Genomic DNA, 22,689 nt, shown 5'->3' with positions numbered 1-22,689 from the left:
CCGACCTGTAACTCACAGCTCCCCCAGGGCCCTCCCTCACGCAGCTGGCCGCTGTGTGCTCAGAGATCCCCACAGAACAAAGCCTCCCTGACCAGAGTGTCCTGGGGTCTCCACTTCTGCTTCCCAGGACTCAGGGGCAGCGTGGCATAAGGCCTCAGATGAGTATATGTGGCCTCAACACCCAAGGAAGACAGACAGGGCCTTGAACGGCCTCACCATACATGGGATCCCTGGACCTGTCTCAGGGGCCATGGAGCCTGCTAATTTCAAAGGAGTGGCTTTGGTTCCCTGCCAGCCCTCGGAATTCAAACAAACCAACGACACCCACCCGCAGGGGCCAGGCGGCACCCATCCTCTCATCACCACAGAGCCCGCCTCCCACAGCGGGGGCCGTCCCCTCTGTTCCTGAGCACACTCCCACCTGGCCCTGCGTGGCACGGAGCCCTCCTCCCGCACTGTGGGAACGCAGGACTCGTAAGCTGCCCTCAACCTCATCCGTCCACTACTATGTGCTGTGTGTCGGGGTTCAGCTGTCTCCAGACCCGAGGGCGGGAGGTCCCCCCTCACCAACCAGGTAAATTTGAGGCCATCAGAGCAGGCGGGACCCCTGGGGGCTTCTCCACAGGGGCCCTCACTAAGCACCCGGCTTACAGGGGAGAGCCAGGAGCAGGCGGGACCCCCGGGGGCTTCTCCACAGGGGCCCTCACTAAGCGCCCGGCTTACAGGGGAGAGCCAGGAGCAGGCGGGACCCCCGGGGGCTTCTCCACAGGGGCCCTCACTAAGCACCCGGCTTACAGGGGAGAGCCAGGAGCTCGGTCTCTGCACAGAGAACCCTCCCCCAGGCATGTCCAGGCCCGCTCATTACCACGTCATCCAGAGAAAACTGGGATCCTTGAGCAAAGACGCTTCCGTTCATGGCAATCATGGCACAGCCGTCGTAGTACAGGCGGTCCCCGTCACAACCCTTCTGGTTGGCCAGCAAGTAAATCCCACCGTTCTGAAAAAGGAGGACCCCATAGCGGAGTGGTCAGCTGTGTCCACCACCCTCACCTGCCACCTGCCCAAGTACAGGAACCTCCGCCGAGTCCCGCTAGGTCATCCTGAGTGGTCCCACCACCGCAGAGATAACGCATATGTGTGGGGAAGCACAGACCTGTGAAGCTGCGGCGAGCCCCGCCTTGCTAGGTGCCAGGCTCTACACAAAACATTTGTTTTTCCTTCACAACAACCCTACAAGGCAGACCCCATCACCTCCCTCAGGCATGATGAGGTTCAGACAAGCCAAAGAAAGCTCTGCATGATGAAGCCAAGACTCAAACGCGGCTCAGCTAGACCCACATCTGCCCCGTGAAGGATGAACCAGCACTGCCCCTCGCACGTCTCACTGCCCAACAGCAGGAGCAGCAAACGTACGGGTGTTCCCTACGCCTCACCATGATGCCAACGAACAAGGAGCACGTTCCGGTTCCTGGTCATGGCAGAGAGGGTGACAGGGTTGCTTCATAGGGTGGCTGCGTGGGTGAGATGGGCTGTGCCGGCGAAGCCCTGGAGGGCAGCAGGGCACACTTGTTGAGTCCAGGCCATAATTACTAGCCTGGAACATCCATTGTGTGTGGGCCCAGCCCTGCGATGGGCACTGAGGATGCAGGAGTTCTTGAGATACAGTGTCTGCCCTGTGGCGCACGCTCCCTGGCCCAGCCCCTACCTTGCTGGTGACCATAGTCACGAGATCCACCCTGGTGTTGGCTTTGCGCAGCACTTGGTGGCTGCCCGAGGCGTTGGTGATGATCTCCACGCCATCCAGGCCCATGTCGATGTGCGGGCTGCAGGCAGAGGCAGGTGAAGAGAACAGGCCACCAGACTCCTCCAAACCAGCCTCCCTGGCAGCCCCTTGCACTCTCCCACGGCAGCTCCCAGCCCACGGCCACGGCCACGGCCACGGCCCCAGGACGTCTGCAGTCCCAGGTCCTCCCAGCTGGCCCATATGAGGTGGGCGATCAGACAGCACAGGGGCATGGGGCTGACCTGTGGGGTGTCCAGAGCTCCTCACAGATCTCACTTCCAATGCAGGTGTCCCATGTCACCAGCACCGCATCTCCGAAGGGTACGGTTTCCTGCAGTCGGAAGAGAAGAGTGCATGAGATTCACTAGCCATGCCCTGTCTGGGCCACGCACTACCTAGGGCCACGGACATCCTGCAGCCACAAGAGCTGGAGTTGGCTCTGGGCTCTCGCACATTCCGAAGAGGTGGGTGCCCTGCGGCTGCGCATGGGACACCGGGTGGTGCCAGGCAGAGACGCCCTTAGGAGCCTATGTGTGGAAGAAGGGGACGCCTGTACTCTGAGCAGCCAAGGGGCAGAATGTCACGGACATCGATGGGGCTGCCAATTGGGGCCAGCAGCTTCTGAAGCGACCCTGTCCTGTGATCACACTGAAGCAGCTGCTGCCCTGTGCTGATGAAGCTAGGCCCCCACTCCCAGCCACAAGGCAGTGGCTGAGAGGGGACACCAGGGTGCCTTCCCTTAGAATTCAAAATTGAGAGTAGGGCATTTTGCTGTTGGTCTAGATAACACTTAAATGTCAGAACATAGCCCCTGGGGATGGAGAAGGCTGTCTTCTGCCACAAGGAGGAAATGAAGAGGAGGAAGCCAGTGTGAGTGGGGGAAGGGAGGAAAAGCAGCCCCAAGGCAAGGAGGAGCCACCCTGGCTGCTGTCTGGCCACGCAGCCCCCCTCACTATAGGAACCTGCCTCCTTTGTCTGTTTCAGACCTGTGAGCACTGTGGTGCCTTCCATTACCTGGATCCCAAAGCGTTCCCGCCCCACCTGGTCCACTGTTGGCCGAGAACAGCGACAACCGACTGAAAAACGGGCTCCACACCCAGGGACTCACCTGCTTTGTCAGGTCCTGTATCATCCGAGGCAGAAAGTACTCCTCTGTGTGCCTGGAGAGGAAAACACCGAGGAGCTGAGGATGAGCATCTCAGGACAAATGAGGAATGGCGGCTACATTTAAACAAAACTCAAACTGAACCCTCCGAACTGATGAACTGGCAAAGGAACTGCCAAGCGTTCCCCCCAATGCAATAAACAATCGCATTCAGGTAAAAAGAAAAGAGTATGAAGGTGGCTTGAGGAGACTATGTGACATGGTGGTGGGCTGGGCTCTCCGAGCTTCGGGCTGCCTCAGTTTCCCCACACGCTCATGTTCATCTTTACTGAGAGATGTGTCACAGGGGATTTGCTGAGAACTGGCCACGTTGCCTCATGGAGAAATCCAGGTGGAATTCCTGATCGCTGTTACTGAATCAGAAAAATCGTGTGGCATTAACCCGAAACACAATGACAAACCAGTATCATCCCTGGAATAAAATGATGCTCTCAATTCGAGAAATCAGGAGGAGGGTTTAATACCAACTTTAGTGCAAGGTGTCCCAAGAAGCTCCACCAAGAGGCGGAATCTTCAAAACAGACAGTTCACGCATTTGACTTCCAATAGGCTGTTACGAGATGCACCACTCAGATCTGCAAGGAACTCCGTTTCCTTTTTGCTTTCTTAGAATTCCCAGGAGCCTTCTGGGCATGGTTTTAGTAGTTCTCTCTACTTAAGAAATGTTAAAGGTTGAGAAACTGAGTCAATGATGTCTTTCCCCCTCATTCACGTAGGGAACGGGGACAGGAAGATATCCTACAGAACTGCAGGCTGCCTCGCCATCCCATATTGAGCACTCCATTCACCCTCTGTAGCCTGTTGACGGCGATGCTGCTGCACCGAAATGCATTTTAAATGCAGGAACCGTCCAAACATCTCTCCCTTCATCTGCACCTTTCCCTCGACTCATGCAAAGACACCCTGGACACCGGAACAAAGACCCAGCGGGACAGGCATGTACCCGGCCTTGCTCCTCACTGCAGCTGTGCTCCACAGCCAGCGCACACCTTGAGGATGGCTCTCTGCAGGCAAGGACCAGGCCTTAGTTATGTTTTCCTAAGAGGACCTGGAACCTGGAATGGCTCCTTGAGCCTGCCAAGTACTCTTTACTAAAGCAGGGGCATGCTGAACATGACCATTTCTTGTCATCATTCGGCACAGCTCCCAGAGGATTAGAAACCTCAGCTTTCTCTAAGTGAACCAAAATGTACAGTTGCTTCTGGTGGGCTCCAGCCTCACCTTCCTGCCACCTCTTCCACGGGGATGAAAGGAATACCATCCCAGAGGGCCCAGTGTGACACCTGACACCGAGGCGTTCATGAGACGAACGGGGAAGAAGGAACAGGAGCCCCACACTTATGCTCTGAAATCCTAAAGACAACATCAACTGATAAAATTTCTCAACAAAAGCACAAATAAATGACAGGAGATAAGTTTACAACTAAGAAAAGAATTTGAAGTCTTAAAATACTTGCAGATAAGAAAACAAAGCACAGGATAGAGCCCTGTGAAGAGCACTGCAGAGAAGACAAATTCAGGGGAATGAAACTGCCAGAAAAAAAATACAAATAAACGAAGACAGTGATGGTTAGAAAGAAGATGAAAGATAAGGCAGGCAGACACAGACATGTCACTTGCCAGCCATCGAGGTTCCTGAAGAACAGAACAGAAGCAAAAGAACGAAAGCCTTTGGAAGCAGAAAATAGGTAAACTTTCCTGAAATAAGAAGACCTGAATGTGGAGTCAAAAAACCTTACAGGTATCATAAAAAATAAGGAGAATCCCCAAGCCATTTGCTGGAGCTACTGAACCTCAGGAGTAATAGAGACATCCCACGGCACCTAAGCAGGAAAAGCTGGCTCCTGCAGAAATGCTAAAATCTGTTTGGCCACAGACTTCCTTTATGGATTAATTTTATTGCAAAATATATTATGCAAAAGAGTACCAAGGCACACATGTGTAATTAAAGGATATTAAAATAAGCCCAGTGCACACAGTACCCAGGTGAAGGAGCAGAGCATCGCCTGGACCTCCGAGCCCCCAGCGTGCGCTGCTCTCTCCTTGGAAGTGCTCCCCGCATCAAATCTTGCCTATCTTTGTACTTCAACACAGGAACATGTCCTTAAGGCACAGATCACTCATGCACCCAGGTGCGCTGATATGGTCTGGCTGTGTCCCCACCCAAATCTCATCTTGAATCATAGCTCCTGTAATTCCCACATGTTGTGGGAGGGACCCGGTGGGAGATAATTGAATCATGGGGCAGGTTCCCCCATACTGTTCTCATGGCAGTAAGCCTTAGGAGATTTGATGCTTTTACAATGGGTTTCCCTTTTTGCTTGGCTCTCATTCTCTCTTGTCTGCCGCTATGTAAGACATGGCTTTCGCCTTCTGCCGTGATTGTGAGGCCTCCCCAGCCACATGGAACTGTGAGTTTATTAAAGTTCTTTTTCTTTACAAATTACCCAGTCTTGGGTATGTCTTTATCAGCAGCATGAAAACGGACTAACACACGTCTTTTTTTTTTTTTTTTTCTGAGACAGGCTCTTGTTCTGTCTTCTGGGCTAGAGAGTAGTGGCACAATCACAGTTTGCTGCAGGCTCAACCTCATGGGCTCAAGTGATCCTCCCACTTCAGCATCCCAGGTAGCTGGTGTTGGGAACAGGCCCCCAGATCTATAAACAAAATCTCTGCAGCACTGTGACATGCTCGTGATGGCTATGACGCCCATGCTGAAGGTTGTTGGCTTCCCAGAATGAGGGCAACAAACACCTGGCCCACCCAGGGCGGAAAACCACTTAAGGCGTTCCTGAACCACAAACAATAGCATGAGTGATCTGTGCCTTAAGGACATGTTCCTGCTGCAGATAACTAGCCAGAGCCCATCCCTTTGTTTCCCGTTTTAATCTATAATCTAAAGAAACAATGCTTATCACTGGCTTGCTGTCAATAAATATGTGGGTAAAACTCTGTTCATGGCTCTCAGCTCTGAAGGTTGTCAGCCCCCTGATTCCCACTCCACACTCTACATTTCTCTGTGTGTGTCTTTAATTCCTCTAGTGCTGCGGGATTAGGGTCTCCACAACCAAGCTGGTCCTGGCAGCTAGGACCACAGGTGCACACCACAACGCCCAGCTGATTTTTGTATTTTCTTTGGTAGAGAGGGGGTTTCACCACGTTGCCCAGGCTGGTCTCGAACTTCTGAGCTGGTCTCGAATCCTGAACTTCTGACCACTTTGGCCTCCCAAAGTGCTGGGATTACAGGCATGAGCCACCACACCTGGCCTTTCGTTTGGTCTTCATGAGTATCTTAGCTATTTGTGGCCTTTTGCTCTTCCATGGAAATATTAGAGCCAGTTTATTGAATTTCCTGTTCAGATTCTTATGGAAACTACACTGAATCCACAGATCAACTTAGGGGAGATGAATGCTTTTCACACTGTGCCTTCCTTTTCACACACACAGGCAATCTCCATTTAGCTCAGTAGTCAATAATGCCCTCCCATAAAATTTTATCATTTTTTCCCATACAGGGCTTACACATCTCTGGTTATAGTTAGCCATAAGCACTTTTCCTGCTGTCATAAATGGTATCTTTCTTAAAGTTACATGTTCTGACTGAATGTTGCTGGTAAATGAAATGAACCTGGCTTTTGGTTGGTTTTATCATCCAGCAAACTTGCCAAAATGTATTGTTAATTACAATATGGTTTCAGCCTATTCCTGGATTTTCATTTAATCCAGAATAATGACCTCTGTCTTTTAATCAAATTATTGTATCCATTTTTATTTGTAGTGACTACTGACAGATTTATTCTGTCTTATGTGCTATCTCTGAGTCCTACTTTTTCTACTGGACTTTTAAAGAACTCACTTCCATTTATGCTTTATTTGGAATTATTTCATTTTTTCCTTTTTAGTCTTCTTTTCTTCTGCCTGCTATTTTGACAATCATATGTTCTATATCTTTTCTTTTAGTGGCTACCCTAGAAATTTTCTGTGTCTCTCAACTAAAGTCAAAAATTGATCAGTATCTTTATCTTTACCCTCCTACAGAGCATTGCCCTAATTTACACGCACAGCTATGCAGTGATTTAGGGCTGGCCTACTTTTTACTACACACTAGACATTATGTTTCATACAGTCCCATTTGTTGACACGTATCCACAAATTTATCAATATCCTTTTTCACCAATCCTTTTGAAATTTCGAGGCTTCTGCTAGGATGATTTTCCTTCTGCCTAACGTACATGTTCAGAATTTCCACTAATGAGTCTTTTAATGATAAAAAACTGTTTTTGCTTGTGTGAAAATGTCTTGATTTTGTCCTTGTTCTTAAAGGATGCATTTACTGATTCTAACACTCCTGGCTGCCGGTGACTCTCTCCTCGGATTTTTTCCAGCCACCGTCTCCTGGCTCCAGGCTTCACCACTACGAAGCAGGAGTTGCTCTAGCTGCTGAATCTCTGCGGGCAATTTGTCTTTTTCCCTTTTGGCTACTTTTGAGAATTTCTCTGTGTCTTTAGTGTTCTGCGGTTTCACAAGAATGTTTCTAGATGTGAATTTCTATTTGTTTATCCTGTTGAGATCTGTTGCAGTTAGTGTATCTGAGAACAGCATCTTTTAAACATCTTATGGATGTTTCCATTTTCTTTCAAATACCGCCTCTTCTCTATAACCTCCATTATCTCCTTCTGAGACAAGAATTCCACCCTTGTTATCCACTTTCACCCTTTTCTCATGTTTCTTAATGTCTCTTAGGTTTTCATCAGATTTTCTTTAAGGCTTAAATTCTGGATAATTGCAGGGAGAGGTCTATCTTTCAGTTCCATACCTCTCTATTCAACTATGTTTAACTTACTTGTTATTCATTCACATTATTATTTGGCTCTTTTTCTAATTCTGATTGGCTGCTTCTTACCTTTTGAGCTTCTCATCAATTTACTTCAGTGTATTAGGAACACTTATCTTCTATTCTGTGTTGAGCTTTCACATCTGCGTCTACTGTATTTTTTTTGCTGGTTCTGACTCATTGTGCCTTATTTCCTTGTATGTTTTATGACTGGACTCTGAGCTTCTCATTTTCCTTAAATGTCACGTCTAGAAATTCGGAGCAGCCTGGATTGAAGGTGAATTTCTCCAGAGAGACGTCTGTTTGCCTGTGCCCAGCGCCTGCGGGTGCTACAGTAACTTCTGGAAGGTCTATTGCCTGGAGACTGGACACTTCCTGAACTCATCTTGGGTCCACATGGAATTAACTTATTCTCCTGAGTCTTATACTACACAGGTAGGGAGGTTTCCAGCACAAAGGCTGTCAATTTCTAGGCAACATCTCTCCCCCTCCACCAAGCACCAGATTGAGGGAGGCATGTGTTCAGCCTTCCCTCTCTGTGCAGTGGACTTATGTCTCAGTCACGGTTTTAGTGTGAGCCATCTGTAGCTACAGCATTCAGAGGTGTCTCCTATTGGATCTCCTGCCCACCCCCCCACCTCCAGTTCCATGAAGTTATCAACAATAAAACTCAAGGTCTCCAGGCGTAGGAAACCCTTGGGGCAAAAGCCAGCTTTGCGCCCAGGGTCCCAGGGTCTCCAGTTTCACTGTTTTTAGGCTCAATGTATTCTGTACTTTCCTGCCAGCTCAGTGGTGCACATTTGAAAATGAGACATAAATGCATACATATTGTATCCGACATACTAATGGCTTCAGTTATGAGGGTCATTCCGGTTCTGGAACTGCCCTGGAGTCAGAAATGGCAAAGCAGCAAAGGAGTGAGTGGCAGACAAGAGCGGGCAACGATTCCACCTGCAAGACAGAAAGTGAACCGCGAGGGAGCAGCAACAGACATCTCTCCACCTCTGCTGGCAGAGAGAGTGAAATTACAGCCTTGGAGCCTGCAGAAGAGAGTGGCCATGAGAAGCAAAGCCATCCACCCACGGAGATCTTGCAGCCCGTGTCTGGCAGCACCAGGCTCTAGAGGGCGGGGTGAGGCAGAGCCAGAAGCAAACGATACCTGGACCACCTCCCAGGCCCAGCACATCATCCCACTGGGAACCAGAGTGCACCAGACAGACCCTGGGCACCAGAACACTAGGCCTGGGAGACAGGGGACAGGGAAAGGGGTGGTCTTGAGGTCTAGAGGCTGAGGATGGGGGCATGTTAAGTGAAAGTCCAAGTGGCTGAGTGTAGGTGCTCAGCCTAGGAGATCAAAAGATGGCGCTTTTTTTTTCTGGAGACATTAGAAAGCAAAGATTTACTTTATCTTCACCTCAACATATGCTAAAAAGACATGGGATAAACTCAACATCCATTCTCAATTTTTAAAAACCTGAAGTAAGACTAGCTAGAGATAGATATAAGCCCCAAATCAAATGCAGAAACATGAAGAGCTTTCCAAGGAAAGTCAGGAAAAAGACGAAATTGCCCATTAGCAAAGAATTTTGCTCCAGAAATGATCTAGAACATTGTTCTAGAAATGCTGGCCAACAAAAGTTAAGAAAATGAACCAAGAGGTGCAAATACTGGAAAGGAAAAGGAAAATTCATTGTATATTATATAAGTTCAACTTAAAAGAAAAACTACAAAAATCAACAGACTAACCAACAGACACAATAGGAGAATTTAATGAGGTAGTCAATTACAAAAGCAACATAAAAATCAAGTTTTCCTATATAAAAAATTAACCACTTAAAAATATAATATTAAAGAGTCCATTTACAATAACAACAATAAAAAACAGAAATAACTGTAATAAAAATGGAGAGTAGAATTTCTCAACCGGGGCATTTTACCCCCCAGGGGACATCTGGTAATGTCTGGGGACATTTTTGGTTGTCACAACTGGGAGCATCTGTGGGGAGACCAGCTATGCCAGTAAATGCCTGAGGATGCACATGGCCGACGCCCCATGACAAAGAATGACCCAAATGTCAACCGGGTGAAGATGGAAATTCAGTATCATTCAAGATGGAAGTGGCACTTCACCTAACATGACTGATATCCCTGATTGATGACTGAGAGTTCCATGTGATCTGCGCTGAACATGGCTACAATTTAATCAGCAGCATCAAATCAGGCATATAAGGGACTGGCACCAGGGGATGGAGACCCTAGTCCATGTTTCTGTGCATCTTCTACTTGCAGAGGCCTGATCAGATAAGGAAGCAATGAGTATGGGGCCCCAGATGTGGAGAACAATGAACAGTTGTTCTGAGGGCACAATGTCCTACACAGGCACAATGACCTCCTTCCGCAGTGGCCCCCGCAGTTCTACCTCATCCCCAATGTAGCCCCCTCCAGCACAATGCTATAAAACTTCCCTCCAGCCCCTGCCTCTCTGCAGACAGCCCCTTCTCTGCTGTGCTGCCTGTTGCGATATTGTAACATACTTTCATACCTTCTCTAATAAATCTGCCTCTCTTTACCTACAACTGTCTTGGTAAATTCCTTTACTGCCTGCACCATTGGCCCCAGCTAGTCGATATCTGTGACACTGCTGAGGTAGAATAGGGTCTGGGGGCAGGGAACCTAAGCACTTCCTAGAACTAAATCAAACAGAAAAACCCCGCTCTTTTTTTTTTTTTTTTTTTTTTTTTTGAGACAGAGTCTCGCTCTGTTGCTCAGGCTGGAGTGCAGTGGCGCAATCTCGGCTCACTGCAAGCTCTTGCCTCCTGGGTTCATGCCATTCTCCTGCCTCAGCCTCCCGAGTAGCTGGGACTACAGGTGCCCACCACCACGCCCAGCTAATTTTTTGTATTTTTAGTAGAGATGGGGTTTCACCGTGTTAGCCAGGATGGTCTCGATCTCCTGACATCGTGATCCGCCCACCTCGGCCTCCCAAAGTGCTGGGATTACAGGCGTGAGCCACCGTGCCCAGCCCAAAACCCCAGCTTTCTAAGACCAAGTAAATAACTTTGTAACTACTTCAGACAGGAAACACCCTTTTTATTTGCATAGTGTGTACACCAAGTAAATAACTTTGTAACTCCACTTCAGCCTCTTCATTTACATGGGGCTCACACCAAGTAACCGATGGGAAGCCTCTAGAGGATATTTAAACCCCGGGACATTGTGTAACCGCGCCCTGAGCCCCTGCCGGGGCTGCTCCCACCCTGTGGAGGGGGCTTTCATTTTCAATCACTCTCTCCTTTGGTTGCTTCATTCTTTTTTGGCTTTCTTTGTGCTTTTTGTCCCATTCTTTGTTCAAAATGTCAAAAACCTGGACACCCTCCACCGGTAACACTCCCATGATCAGGACCCAAGGCTACACACAGCGGAGGTGCTTAACGCACATCCCAGGAGTGGTCAGGCACCCGACTCACCGACTCCTCGACCACGGGGTGAACCAGCGCAGCTCGCGGTAGTTGCCTTCATTGGCCAAGGCCATCTTGGGTCTGATGAGCAGGATCTTCCTGCAGACAGGGGAACAGGGCTGTGCACACCGGGCTCCTGAGATGAACGTGCCACTGGCGGTGGTCAGTGCCACCAAGTGACGAGGTGATGCCATGCAGAGTCAGCTTGAGAATGGGGCCCCGAGCAAATCTCTCTCCTTCTCTGGGCTTCCGCTTTCTATGACTCGGGTCCCCATGGCTGCATCCATTCGTGACCGTCAACGATGAAGCAGCTAAGCCCCAGAAGGTGTGCGCCTCCCCAGCAGCTGGTGACCAGGCGCTCCAAGGGAACTTGCTCACCTGGACTGGCTTCCAGGCCACAAGGACCTGTGTCCCCACACCCCCACCCTCTGCGTCTCTCTCCTTCTGATACCTGATGATGCCTGTCTCGGTGGTGGCTGAGACCCAGAAAAGCAAAGGCACCCGGATCACCTGCCTGGTGCATCGGCCCTCACTAAGCCCGGGCACTTCCAGAAGCAGCCTCCCAGCAACGGGTCCCCAGGGCACCAGCACGGGTCCTGGCAGCCCTCAGCTGAGAGCCAGGGAGAGGCCCCAGTCACCCTCCCGGGGTGGGGGCAGGGGGCCTACCTGTTGAGGAATATCACTCTGCAGTTGTAGCGGACGTTTCGGTGCATTACAGGCCTGCAGGAGAGAGGGGAGGTACATGTGTGTCTGCCCGGTTATGAAACACAGAGCACATGGAGGCAGCGGCTGCAGCTCTGGAATCATGCATTTTACTTTACTACGAAGCTTCCTCCGATCCCTTCGGAGAACTGCAAGGCTCTTCTGTGGCACCCTCAAATCAAAGCTAAAAGGAGCCGAGATGGTTCTGCCACCCAGGCAGCACCGACTCTAAGCCTAGAGGAGCTTCTTCTCAATGAAGGGCAAATTCATTCCACCACAGGGTTCTTCCCTCTCCTCCTGGAATGTTCCAGCCTCTGTTGCCTCCTCCCCTTCCCCTTCCAAATTGCCTTATGCTAACCTGAGGCATCCACTTTTCAGCACCTGTCCGCCCTGAGCTCATTTCCACCCACCACCTGGGACAGGTGGAACCCCTCCATTTGCTGCTCCGGGCTGGCCCTTTCTCGGGACTGGGTCTTGGCTTCACGCTCCCATCACCTCGCCAACACCCTATCATCTCCCCCTGCAGATAAGGGGACCATAGCAGGAGAGGGCGGCCTGGCTGGGGGCACTCGAGTGGGGACCAGAGTGACCCGACAGGAGGTTTGGGCCAGATCAGGGCAGCACAAGGGGAAGATGACCCTCATAGGGGCACTGAGAGGACACAGTGTCGAAGAAAAGCACAGGCGCCTGCCAGAGGTGTGACCCGACAGCAAAAGTGTTTCAGGGGAAGAAAAACCAAATGTGGATGGTGTGGAGTTCCAATTCCAGCCTTGCCACTGGCTAAGTAACCGGTGTGAACCCAAAAGTATCTGAGACAGGTCTCAGTCCATTTAGAACATTTATTTTGCCCAGGTGAAGGATGCACTCCTGACACAGCCCGAGGGGGTCCTAACTACACGTGCCTGCGGTGGTCAGGGCACAGCCTGCTTGTACACATTTCAGGGAGACAGAAGACGTCACTCAATACATACAAGATGGGCACTGCTCGAACTGGAAAGGCAGGACCAACTCGAGGGGGCCAGGGACGGGCTTCCAGGCCATAGGTGGATTTAAACAGTTCTGACTGGCAATTGGTTGAAAGAGTTATTATCAATAGAAAGGAATGTCTGGGTTATGATAGCGGGTTGTGGAGACCAAAGTTTTATGATGTAAATGAAACCTCCAAGTAGCAGGCTTCAGAGAGAACAGACTGTAAATGTTTCTTATGAGACTTAAGGTCTGTGTTGATGCTCATGCTGGTCGGCTTTTCCAAAAGGGAGGAGGGTAAATGAGGCCTGTCCGACCCCCGATCACCCCCCACTCCCAGTCATGGCCTGAACCCGTCTTTCAGGTTAACCTTGGAGGGCCCCTCTGAGAGAAGCGGTTCATTCAAAAGGTTGGGAGGGCCTTAGAATTTTATTTCTGGTTGACATCAGCCTTGATTCTTCCTCCCAAAAATGGGGATGAAAGGGCAAGATGCATGCAGGGGCACCACTGCCTGCCCCGGTCCTGGCTGCGGCCACCACAAGCGACTCACTCCATCATGGCTTCTATTCCTCTCCGATGTGTTCTGGATTCAGGTCCCCACCAAATCTCATGTCCTACTGTAATCCCCAGCATTGGAGGTGGGGCCTGGTGGGGGCGGAGTTCTTATGAATGGGTTGGCACTGTCCCCTCCGTGCTGTTCTCCTGACAGTGAGTGAGTGGGTTCTCATGAGATCTGGTCGTTTTAATAGTGTGTAGCGACTGGGTGCTGTGGCTCATGCCTGTAATCCCAGCACTTTGGGAGGCTGAGGCAGGCGGATCACAAGGTCAGGAGTTCAAGACCAGCTTGACCAATATGATGAAACCCCATCTCTACTAAAAATACAAAAATTAGCTGGGTGTGGTGGTGCATGCCTGTAGTCCCAGCTACTTGGGAGGCTGAGGCAGGAGAATCGCTTGAACCCGGGTGGCAGAGGTTGCAGTGAGCCGAGATCGCACCGCTGCACTCCAGCCTGTGCGACAGAGTGAGACTCTGTCTCAAAAAGAAATAAATAAAAATAAATAAAAAAGTGTGTAGCACCTCGCCCCTCTCTCTCTTGCTCCTGTTCTTGCCATGGAAGATGCCTGACGAACACAAACTTGTTCTCACTTAGACAAAGTGTGCCCAGAGTGTGAGAGAAATAGATGTTTTAAATAAAATACGGGCCCTCCGTGAATATCTGATCTCTAAGTGGAGTAAGCCACTAGAACAAACTCAGAAACAAACTAAAGCAGATCAGGGCGGCGCTTTCACTACGTGACCATTTTACCACTGAACACATAAAACAAAGTCACACACCGAACAACGCACCAGGAAAAGGATTTTTACCTTACGTGGGAATGGACTGACATGTTTCGCATATAAAGGACTCAAATTAAAAGAGACAAAAACAGTTGTAGGCAAAAAACCAGGTAACTATTGAAGAGTGTTATAAATCACCAACAAACAAAAAAAAGTTCAACTCAGTAAGTGAGCAAAGCAAATAAATAAGACAGTCGTTTTTAAAAAACTATTCACCACTCTGTTTCTTTATTTTGCTTATAAAGGCAAACCCTTGTGGAGCAGAACTAAGGATGGTGCACCACCAACCACAGAGGGCGGGGACCCAACTCAGCACCCTCTTCCTTGAGGACCGTTTGAAGAAACGATGCAGGATGGAAGTTATCAATGACATTATGATAAAACTCTTGTTTTGTTCAATGGAGCCTCCAATCCAGAAAAATGCTAGATTTCAAAAGAAAAAATACCTTCAAATATGATGGTTACAAATTTAAGTGTAAAAAGTAGAAAAATGAAAAGAGGATGATAAATTCAAAGTCAGCAGGGGAAAAGTTTGAGCAAAAATGAACCAACAAAAGGCAAAACCCAAAAAGAACCAGCCTGGGCAACATAGCGAGACCCTGTCTCTATGAAAAATAAAAAATAAAATTAGCCAGGTGTACTGGTGTGCACCTGTAGTCCCGGGTACTCAGGAGGCTGAGATGGACGGATCACTCAAGCCCAGGAGGTCGAGGCTGCAGTGAGCCAGGATGGCACCATGGCACTCCAGCCTGGACAACAGAGTGAGAATCTGTCTCAAACAAACAAAAACAAAAACAAACAAAAAAAAGAAAACCTAATGAATAGAAAACTTGGTGAAGTGACTAGAGTAAGTCCTTGTGGTCGTCTGACTCTCAGCCCCTCAAAGATGTCCCCATCCTAACTGCTGGAGCCTGTGACTGTGTTATGTTACCTGAGGCGCTGCAGGGGTGATGAGGTGACAGGCCTTGAGATGGGAGATGATTCTGGACAATCTGGGCCAGCCAGCAAGGGTCCCCATAAAAGGGAGGGTCAGAGGAGGACTGCGACAACAGACGTGGGGGTCGGGGTGACATCACAGCTGGGAGGGGCCACAGGCCAGGGAAGCTAGAGAAGGCAGGGACGCAGATCCTCCTGGAGTGTCTCCGGAAGGAACCAGGCTTGCTGCTGACCCCTGACCCCTTGACCTCCGACCTTCAGAACCATTAGATAAAAGACTGGTGTTGCTTGTGTGTTTTGTGTCCATGGAAATTCATCAGAGCGGCAAAAGGAAACTAAGAGAGTCCACAGGACCAATTAGCATCATCCGTGTGAACAGGGCACTAAAATTCCCATCCATGTGCTGCTTAGAAGAGGCCCCAGTCCACAAATGTCACGGTGAGGGTCGCACGCGAGTGGCAGGAGAATATGTGCCAGGCAGATGCCAAGGAAGAAGCGAGCCAAGGTGCCACGTCCATGCCGGATGAGGCGGGGCTGAAGGAGACGTAAAGGACTCGATGCGAGGTTCAGTGACAGGGGATGGCAATGCAGAGCGCAGCAGACACCAGCAGAACATGTGCAGAGGCCTCCATAGGGGACGGCTATGCAGAGTGCGCAGCACAGACTCCAGCACAGCATCCTCCATAGGGAGCCGGCTATTCAAAGCAGGGCTCAGATACCAGCACAGCACGTGCAGAGGCCTCCATAGGGGACCGGCTATGCAGGGACAGCACAGACACCAGCACAGCACACACAGAGGCCTCCATAGGGGTGGCTAAGCAGGGACAGCACAGACACCAGCACAGCGTGAGCAGAGGCCTCCATAGGGGACCGGCTATGCAGGGACAGCACAGACGCCAGCACAGCGCACACAGAGGCCTCCATAGGGACCAGCTATGCAGGGCACAGCACAGCTCATGCAGAGGCCTCCATAGGGGCGGCTATGCAGGGACCGCACAGACACCAGCACAGCACACACAAAGGCCTCCACAGGGACTGGCTATGCAGGGTACAGCACAGACACCAGCACAGCGTGTGCAGAGGCCTCCATAGGGACCAGCTATGCAGGGTACAGCACAGACACCAGCACAGAGCGTGCAGAGGCCTCCATAGGGACCGGCTATGCAGGGTACAGCACAGACACCAGCACAGCGTGTGCAGAGGCCTCCATAAGGACCGGCGATGCAGGGTACAGCACAGACACCAGCATGGAGCATGCAGAGGCCTTCCTTGTGGAGCTACACATATGCAGCCTAGGACATGGGAACCGTGTGGCAACATGTGGACATGGAATGAGCCCCAGGGCTCCCTGTGATGTGAGTCAAGCTCTCTGCACGGGGTGGGGTGAATGCTGCATTCCCCTTTGTGCAGAGTCTGCTGATGTGTGCACAGGACTTTCTGGAAGAACTGACACATCCTGCTTTCAGGAGCTCCCTCCTTGCAGGGGAAATGAGGTGGCTTACGGGGCTGAGATAGGAACAAAACCCACTTTTCAAGCATAAGGCCTTTCGTATCCCTGGACACATGGATGTTCCACACCCTGGATGGAGGCCGGTTGGGTGGGTCATGCCCTTGAGCTTGCCTTTGTCCCAGGTTTGCCCTTCCACACTCACACTGGCACTTACATCCCCACGTCGCAGATGATGTCCTGAGTGACGGGAGACTCCACAAGGGCCGCTAGGACTTGAAACGAGTGCAAGAGGGTGTCCGACTCGTAATAATGATCCCAACATCCGTAGCCGCTGCAGAGACAGTGAGAAGGTGAGCTCCAGAAACAACTCAGGTGAGCGGGGAGGGGCAGGGCCTGTGGGCCAGTCCAGTCTGAACGTGTCTGGGGGCCGGGGCTCAGGTGTTTTCTCAAAGCCTTCCAGGTGATTCCAATGAGCAGCCAGCATAAGACCCACTGCCGCAGCCAGATGTGCCGTACTGAAAGCGAAGAGCACGGCCCCTGCTCCTCTCTCTGAGTTTTAAGTTACTACAAAAACTCTCTCTCTATCAGGAAGTGCCCGCCCTTGGGTTTCCTTGTAACTGTTAATGTGGCCCAAATGACACTGATCTACAAGAGAAGAACCTCAAAGAAACAAAGCTGGACCCACAGAAATCCATTCTTTGGCAAAGAAGATCACTAATAACCATTCAGAAAAACCACCCACAAAGCTGCCCCTGTGTTTCTTGCTACAGATGCTTGTAGTCGGCTGAATGATGAACCCCAAAAAGGTCCGTCCACACCCCACCTTAGAAACCTGCGAAGGTGACCTTATTTTAGAAGAAGAGTCTGCTGATGTAACTAAATTAAGTATCCCAAGATGAGATCACCCTGGCTTTTGCAGGGGGGCCTAAATCCAATGACAAGTGTCCTTGTAAGAGAAAGGAGAGGAGAGACAGGGAGAACAGGAGGCAACATGAGGACGGAGGCAGAGATGGGAGCAATGAGGCCACAAGCCAAGGAGCACCTGGAACCACCAGGAGCTGGGAAAGGCACGAGGGACCCTCCCCAAGAGCCTTCGGAGGGAGCCAGACGCTGCTGCCATCCTGATTTTGGACTTCCGGCTTCCTGAACTGTGAGAGAATACATTTCTGTTGCTTTAAGCCTCTAGTTTGTTTCTATCTGTTTCGGCAGCCACAGGAATTAATTCAATAATCTGTGGTGTCATTAAATGCGAAGGCTGGGTTTCTTAGTATTGGGGTTCCCATAATAAAATATAGAGTATCTGTAGAACACTTATAACTCTTCAAGAAGTTCTCCTTTCTACTACACATCAGCCTGGAAGGCACACTTCAAATGCCCAGCAAACCTCGCACACACCTGCATAAACCCCAAAACCAGCAATTGTGACTTTCAGTATCTGGGAAAGCATTGCTCTCTGCCTTGGCTCTGCTAAGAGGAAAAGCCCAGTTCTCAGATAGAAAAGGCATCCAGGAGATGTCCCAGTAGGGAATGGAGTTCTGAGATGTCCTTTCTCCTCCAACGGATCCGTTTCATGGGTTTTCATGCCCTGTTGGCGTCCTGGCCCACATGTGAAACCAAATAACGTTATAACACCACACGTCCCGCTGCATGGCATCCAGCGACCAGAGGCCTCTCACCCCTTCGGTGAGTCAGCAGCAGGAGCTGGTCCTGGGGCCATTTGGGTGGTAGCCTTCCCTTTCCAAAGCTTCCAGCACCAGCTCAAAGGAAACTGCTGACTTTTCTAGGTGAGAGGGTCTCTGGTCCATGAGTCAGCCTGCTCTAGGGCCACTGGGCCCTCCCTGTGTATCAGGTGCTGGACCTCTAACCAGTAAGAACAAGAGGCGGTGTGCTCAGTGAAGTGATGTCCCTCCTCTCCTGCCTCGGTTTCCTCTCTGTAAGTTGTTGGAATATTTCACAGGAGCCTGCTCAGCAGGTTGTAAGCTACTTGGAGACCTGCTCAGCTGGGCCCCTGTCCCTGCTGGATGCAAATATTCCATCCCGGGGGCCTTTAGTTAGACATCCTCCCACTTTTAAAATGAAACAGGTCCATATTTGGAGGAAAGAGAGAGGTGGATGTAACATTTATAGGAGAGAGAGACTAGGACGAAGAAAGAAAAGAAGACGTAAACTCTAAGCATCTGGGCAACATCAGGCCAGGGGGACTGGGCTGTCACCACTGCAGCTCCTCCAGGGCAAGCAGCAGACAGGACATGAGGATCAGGCCCCCGGACCAGCCCAGGAGAGGTCAGGCTCACGAGACGATCAGGCCTTGAGTCCAGCCCAGGAGAAGATCCGGCCACGGGGCCAGGAGAGGATCGAAGCTTTGTGATATCAGACAGCCCAGAACCCTAGATCCCTTGGCACTTAGGTGAAGAATTTCTTAAAGAATCAATCAAATGAAGACAAATTAAAGAACAAAGTAAACATTCTTGGATATTATGGGAGAAACAGCCCTATTTGAAGGTGGTATTCTAAGGAGAGAAATCAATCTAATGAAGGAAAGAAACTTGGAAGGACTTAGAGAAAGATGCCTCTGGACTCACACAAAACCTCCTAAGAGAAGACAGTTCCTGCTTACTCTAAGTCCAGAAGCAAGAACACACACTAAGGCAGGGGACAAAGACTGAAGAGGAACTTCCAGATCCCACAACGGGTCAGAGGCCTAAAGACCAACGGGAAACTAGCAGAGCACAGATGGCAGCTGACATCCAAAATGAGAAAGGACTATCGCTTACAAGAGACTTACAACGTGGCTACTCATTGTTTTGTTTTCATTTTTGTTTTTGTTTTTGAAGGGACAAGAAGGGAAATAAGCAATCAGTTTTCCTGATTTTTACAAAAAGGCATATAAGAAACGATAACCTATGCTTGCTTGTGGAAAGATTCTGAGATCACGGAATGAAAACCTGGGAATATGTCTTGGTCCTTCAGCCTGCTATAACAAAACACCTTGGACTGGGTAATTAATAAACAGCAGAAATGTATTGCTCACAGTTCTGGAGGCTGGGAAGCCCACGATCAAGGTGCTGGCAGATTTGGTATCTGGTAAGGACTGGTTGTCTCCTTCTCTGTGTCCTCACATGGTAGAAGGGGCCAACAAGCTCCTTTGGGCCTCTCTTGTAAGAGCACTAATCCCATTCATGCAGGCTCCACTCTCATGCCCTCATGACCCAATCACCTGCCAAAGGCCTCATCTCTTAATTCCATCATCTGGGGGTTAGGTTTCAACATATGAATTTTGTGGGGACGCAAACATTCAGACCACAGCAAAAGGGCAGTGGTAACACAGAAGCAGCCCAACTTTGAAACTGGCCTTCATCTGGTAAAAGTCAGTTCTTTTAATTACTCAACATGGGAATCTAGACTTATTCAGCCTCCCTGGGCCTGCCCTTGCTCAGGTGTTCAATGGCATTAACCAGGCCCAACAGTGGGTGTGGCGTGTCCACAGCTCTCAGGACTGTCCCTGCTCCTTCCTTGCCTTCTCAGCTGGGGAAAACTGATGCTGGTATCGCTAGCTGACGACCCCAGGGTGTCTGTGTCTGTTCTCACCATATTTCCAGCTCTGGTCCAAGCCTGTATCTTGCTCCTCTGTTTTTGGCAATTTCAATACCTGTAAGTACAGAGAGAAAAAGAAAATGGAGCAATTTCAGCACCTATACACTCAAAGACAGATGAAACAACCTGCTGCAGTAGGTAGGATAAAAAAAAAAACAAACAACAAACAAAAATGCTCTGTGCCTTCCCAGACGGGATGCAGTCAGGCTTCCTGTTGACAGCATGGCAGCAGAGGGCAGCATACACCTGTATACACCTGTATACACGAGTACGCCTGCACCTGCTTATACTTGCATATACCTGCTTATATCTGCAGGAAATGAGAAACAGGGAGGGCTTGCAGGTCTGACCCTTAGCACCATGGAGGAGGCGGAGGAAGAGGAAGAAGTCAGACCCTGGTAGTTTATTAACAAGGAAATGCCCAACACCATCTAGAGGAAAAAGGACTTAGAGGATTACGATCCAGCAGTGGTGCCACTGTCAGGCACCATCGGCTTACTGGTCTTGGGCAGCAGCTTCCAACAAGCACCTAGGGAGGAGAGGCTGGCAGAGTGGAAACTTAGTTTTGGCCAAGCCTTCTTCAGTTCAACTAGATTTGCTCTGAGCAAATGAGGTGAAAGCAGGTTGATATTTAAAAAATAAAAATAAAAAACCACTGGCTGCGGTGGCTCATGCCTGGAATCCCAGCACTTTGGGAGGCCAAGGCAGGTGGATCACTTGAGGTCAGGAGTTCGAGGCCAGCATGGCCACCATGGTGAAACCTTGTCTCTACTAAAAATACAGAAATTGGCCATGCATGGTGGCAGACGCCTGTAATCCCAGCTACTCAGGAGGCTGAGGCAGGAGAATCGCTTGAGCCCAGGAGGCAGAGACTGCAGTGAGCCAAGATGACACCACTGCACTCCAGCCAGGGCAACAGAGTGACAGTCCATGTCAAATAATAATAATCATAATAATAATCCAGGGCACATACTGATTAGATGCCATCTCTTGAAACATTCTGTTTCTATTGTTCCTGGCAAAGGCTCTTGCAGTCAGCAGACCAGTGCAAGACAAGCTGCAACCTGACTACACCTGCAGGCTTGCCCATTTAGGTGCAGGTGTAATAGTTTAACTTTTCATCCTCCACGGTGCGTCCATATGAACGAAAATTAGATGGTGACCTTTCAACAACCACACCCTATCTTCGAGGCCACCACGCCCGGCTGATTTTTGTATTTTTAGTAGAGACGGTGTTTCACCATGATGGCCAGGCTGGTCTTGAACTCCTGACCTCAGGTGACTTCCACCCCCTCCGGCCCCCCCAAAATGCTGGGATGACAGGCGTCTTTTTCTACTTCCCTTTCTGGGACGCCTTCTCCCACCAGGAAGGCCCACGGGGACCAGAGACCATCAATCTCTGGCCTCTGCACACCATCCCCGCCAGTGCGCAGCCATTCTGTTCAACTTAGATATCTCCGAGAATGGGCAGCTCAGTCCCAACCACGGGACCCCAGAGATATCAGAACACGGGTCCATCCCCAGGCCTCCCGCCTAAGCCGCCAGACTTTTCTTAACCGTGCCTTGTATATCGCTCGTCCCCGGGAACTATAAACACTCACTTCCCGACGAGGACCTGAGCACGTACCACTGGCGGGGTCATTGCCCATTATCTCACCTGATCCCATGCCCAGGGCCGAGAGTTTCCCAGGGCAAGGCTGTGAGCACGCCACGGGCAAGCCTGGGCCCAGCCACGGTGCCCGTGCGCCACCCCAAACCGGTGCCCCCGCCGCCCCAGACTCACTCTTTAAAATTCTTTGCAAATTGCCCTCGAAGTCCAGGGCCCACTGGTTGAGTGCGCAGGTGGCCACGGTCACCTTCCGGCCCATCCTGGCCGCAGTCGCTTGGGCAGGAGGCCAGCGGGGGACAGCAAGACCAGGGTCCCAGCGAGGTAGGCGGCTGGGACGCCGGACCTTCCGGGTTGCCCGGCCCCGCCCCCTCCCCGCCCATCCGTTGAGGCTCCGGCCAAGGAGGACTGCGGCGTCAGGCCCTGCCTACGGATCGCCCCGCCCCGTCTGAGGAGCTCACGACCGCGCCTGCGCAGCGAGGTGGCCTCAGCGTTCACGGCACCGCGAAGGGCCCCGCCCCCGCCCCGGCTCCACCCACGTCCCAGGCCCCGGCCCCGGCCCGGCCCTTGCGGGCAAACCCGTTCAGGTGCACAGGTGCAGGGGGCTCACCGCCCAGCTGCAGCACCCCTCTATTTTATCCCACACCGCCACCCCACATCCAGCTTAGCCATGTTTTATTTTAATACGGCATGAAACGTTCCAAATACACCAAAAGTGGAGAGTACGGTAGGAGCGCTCCATCGTGCCCGCGGGACAGCAGACGATAGCAATCGATTCTCCGTGCTGGGAATCCCGCCACCCTGGGCGGATGGCGCTGAATTCTTGGGAACCCTCTCCTGCCCCTTTCACTCCTGT

General features: G+C 50.7%; 1 protein-coding gene and 1 non-coding gene across 2 annotated transcripts in view, besides 6 other annotated features; both read right to left on the bottom strand.

The window, feature by feature from the left end:
• NADSYN1 (NAD synthetase 1) overlaps positions 1-22,189 on the bottom strand; it is a 48,614-nt gene extending 26,425 nt beyond the window's left edge. Inside the window, exons 1-9 of the mRNA NM_018161.5 lie at positions 22,011-22,189; positions 20,222-20,282; positions 16,848-16,964; positions 11,907-11,960; positions 11,250-11,339; positions 2,892-2,943; positions 2,026-2,114; positions 1,706-1,823; positions 866-997 (exon numbers count right to left, since the gene is read on the bottom strand). Coding sequence (NP_060631.2) covers positions 866-997; positions 1,706-1,823; positions 2,026-2,114; positions 2,892-2,943; positions 11,250-11,339; positions 11,907-11,960; positions 16,848-16,964; positions 20,222-20,282; positions 22,011-22,095 — 798 coding nt within the window. The 5' untranslated portion in view covers positions 22,096-22,189. The remainder of the gene's footprint in view (positions 1-865; positions 998-1,705; positions 1,824-2,025; positions 2,115-2,891; positions 2,944-11,249; positions 11,340-11,906; positions 11,961-16,847; positions 16,965-20,221; positions 20,283-22,010) is intronic.
• Positions 1,251-2,157: an enhancer, noted in NCBI's record as "H3K4me1 hESC enhancer chr11:71184281-71185187 (GRCh37/hg19 assembly coordinates)". NCBI's record gives its function as "activates a minimal SCP1, AML or CMV promoter by ChIP-STARR-seq in naive H9 embryonic stem cells {active_cell/tissue: H9 hESC(naive)}" and the evidence as "EXISTENCE:reporter gene assay evidence [ECO:0000049][PMID:30033119]".
• Positions 1,824-1,889, bottom strand: MIR6754 (microRNA 6754). Its single transcript, NR_106812.1, has one exon. It is a non-coding gene; the product is annotated as a microRNA 6754 (primary transcript).
• Positions 2,158-3,065: an enhancer, noted in NCBI's record as "H3K4me1 hESC enhancer chr11:71183373-71184280 (GRCh37/hg19 assembly coordinates)". NCBI's record gives its function as "activates a minimal SCP1, AML or CMV promoter by ChIP-STARR-seq in naive H9 embryonic stem cells {active_cell/tissue: H9 hESC(naive)}" and the evidence as "EXISTENCE:reporter gene assay evidence [ECO:0000049][PMID:30033119]".
• Positions 17,032-17,212: a silencer, noted in NCBI's record as "fragment chr11:71169226-71169406 (GRCh37/hg19 assembly coordinates)". NCBI's record gives its function as "represses an EF-1alpha promoter that drives an FKBP-Casp9 reporter gene in an ReSE screen in HepG2 liver carcinoma cells and K562 erythroleukemia cells {active_cell/tissue: HepG2 | K562}" and the evidence as "EXISTENCE:reporter gene assay evidence [ECO:0000049][PMID:32094911]".
• Positions 21,032-21,531: an enhancer, noted in NCBI's record as "H3K4me1 hESC enhancer chr11:71164907-71165406 (GRCh37/hg19 assembly coordinates)". NCBI's record gives its function as "activates a minimal SCP1, AML or CMV promoter by ChIP-STARR-seq in primed H9 embryonic stem cells {active_cell/tissue: H9 hESC(primed)}" and the evidence as "EXISTENCE:reporter gene assay evidence [ECO:0000049][PMID:30033119]".
• Positions 21,532-22,033: an enhancer, noted in NCBI's record as "H3K4me1 hESC enhancer chr11:71164405-71164906 (GRCh37/hg19 assembly coordinates)". NCBI's record gives its function as "activates a minimal SCP1, AML or CMV promoter by ChIP-STARR-seq in primed H9 embryonic stem cells {active_cell/tissue: H9 hESC(primed)}" and the evidence as "EXISTENCE:reporter gene assay evidence [ECO:0000049][PMID:30033119]".
• Positions 22,091-22,460: a silencer, noted in NCBI's record as "silent region_3709". NCBI's record gives its function as "represses an Ori minimal core promoter by ATAC-STARR-seq in GM12878 lymphoblastoid cells {active_cell/tissue: GM12878}" and the evidence as "EXISTENCE:reporter gene assay evidence [ECO:0000049][PMID:35858748]".

The sequence above is a fragment of the Homo sapiens genome, chromosome 11 (assembly GCF_000001405.40).
Source record: "Homo sapiens chromosome 11, GRCh38.p14 Primary Assembly".
In the NCBI taxonomy this organism is placed as follows: Eukaryota; Metazoa; Chordata; class Mammalia; order Primates; family Hominidae; genus Homo; species Homo sapiens.
This window is presented reverse-complemented; position numbering and strand designations above follow the sequence as displayed.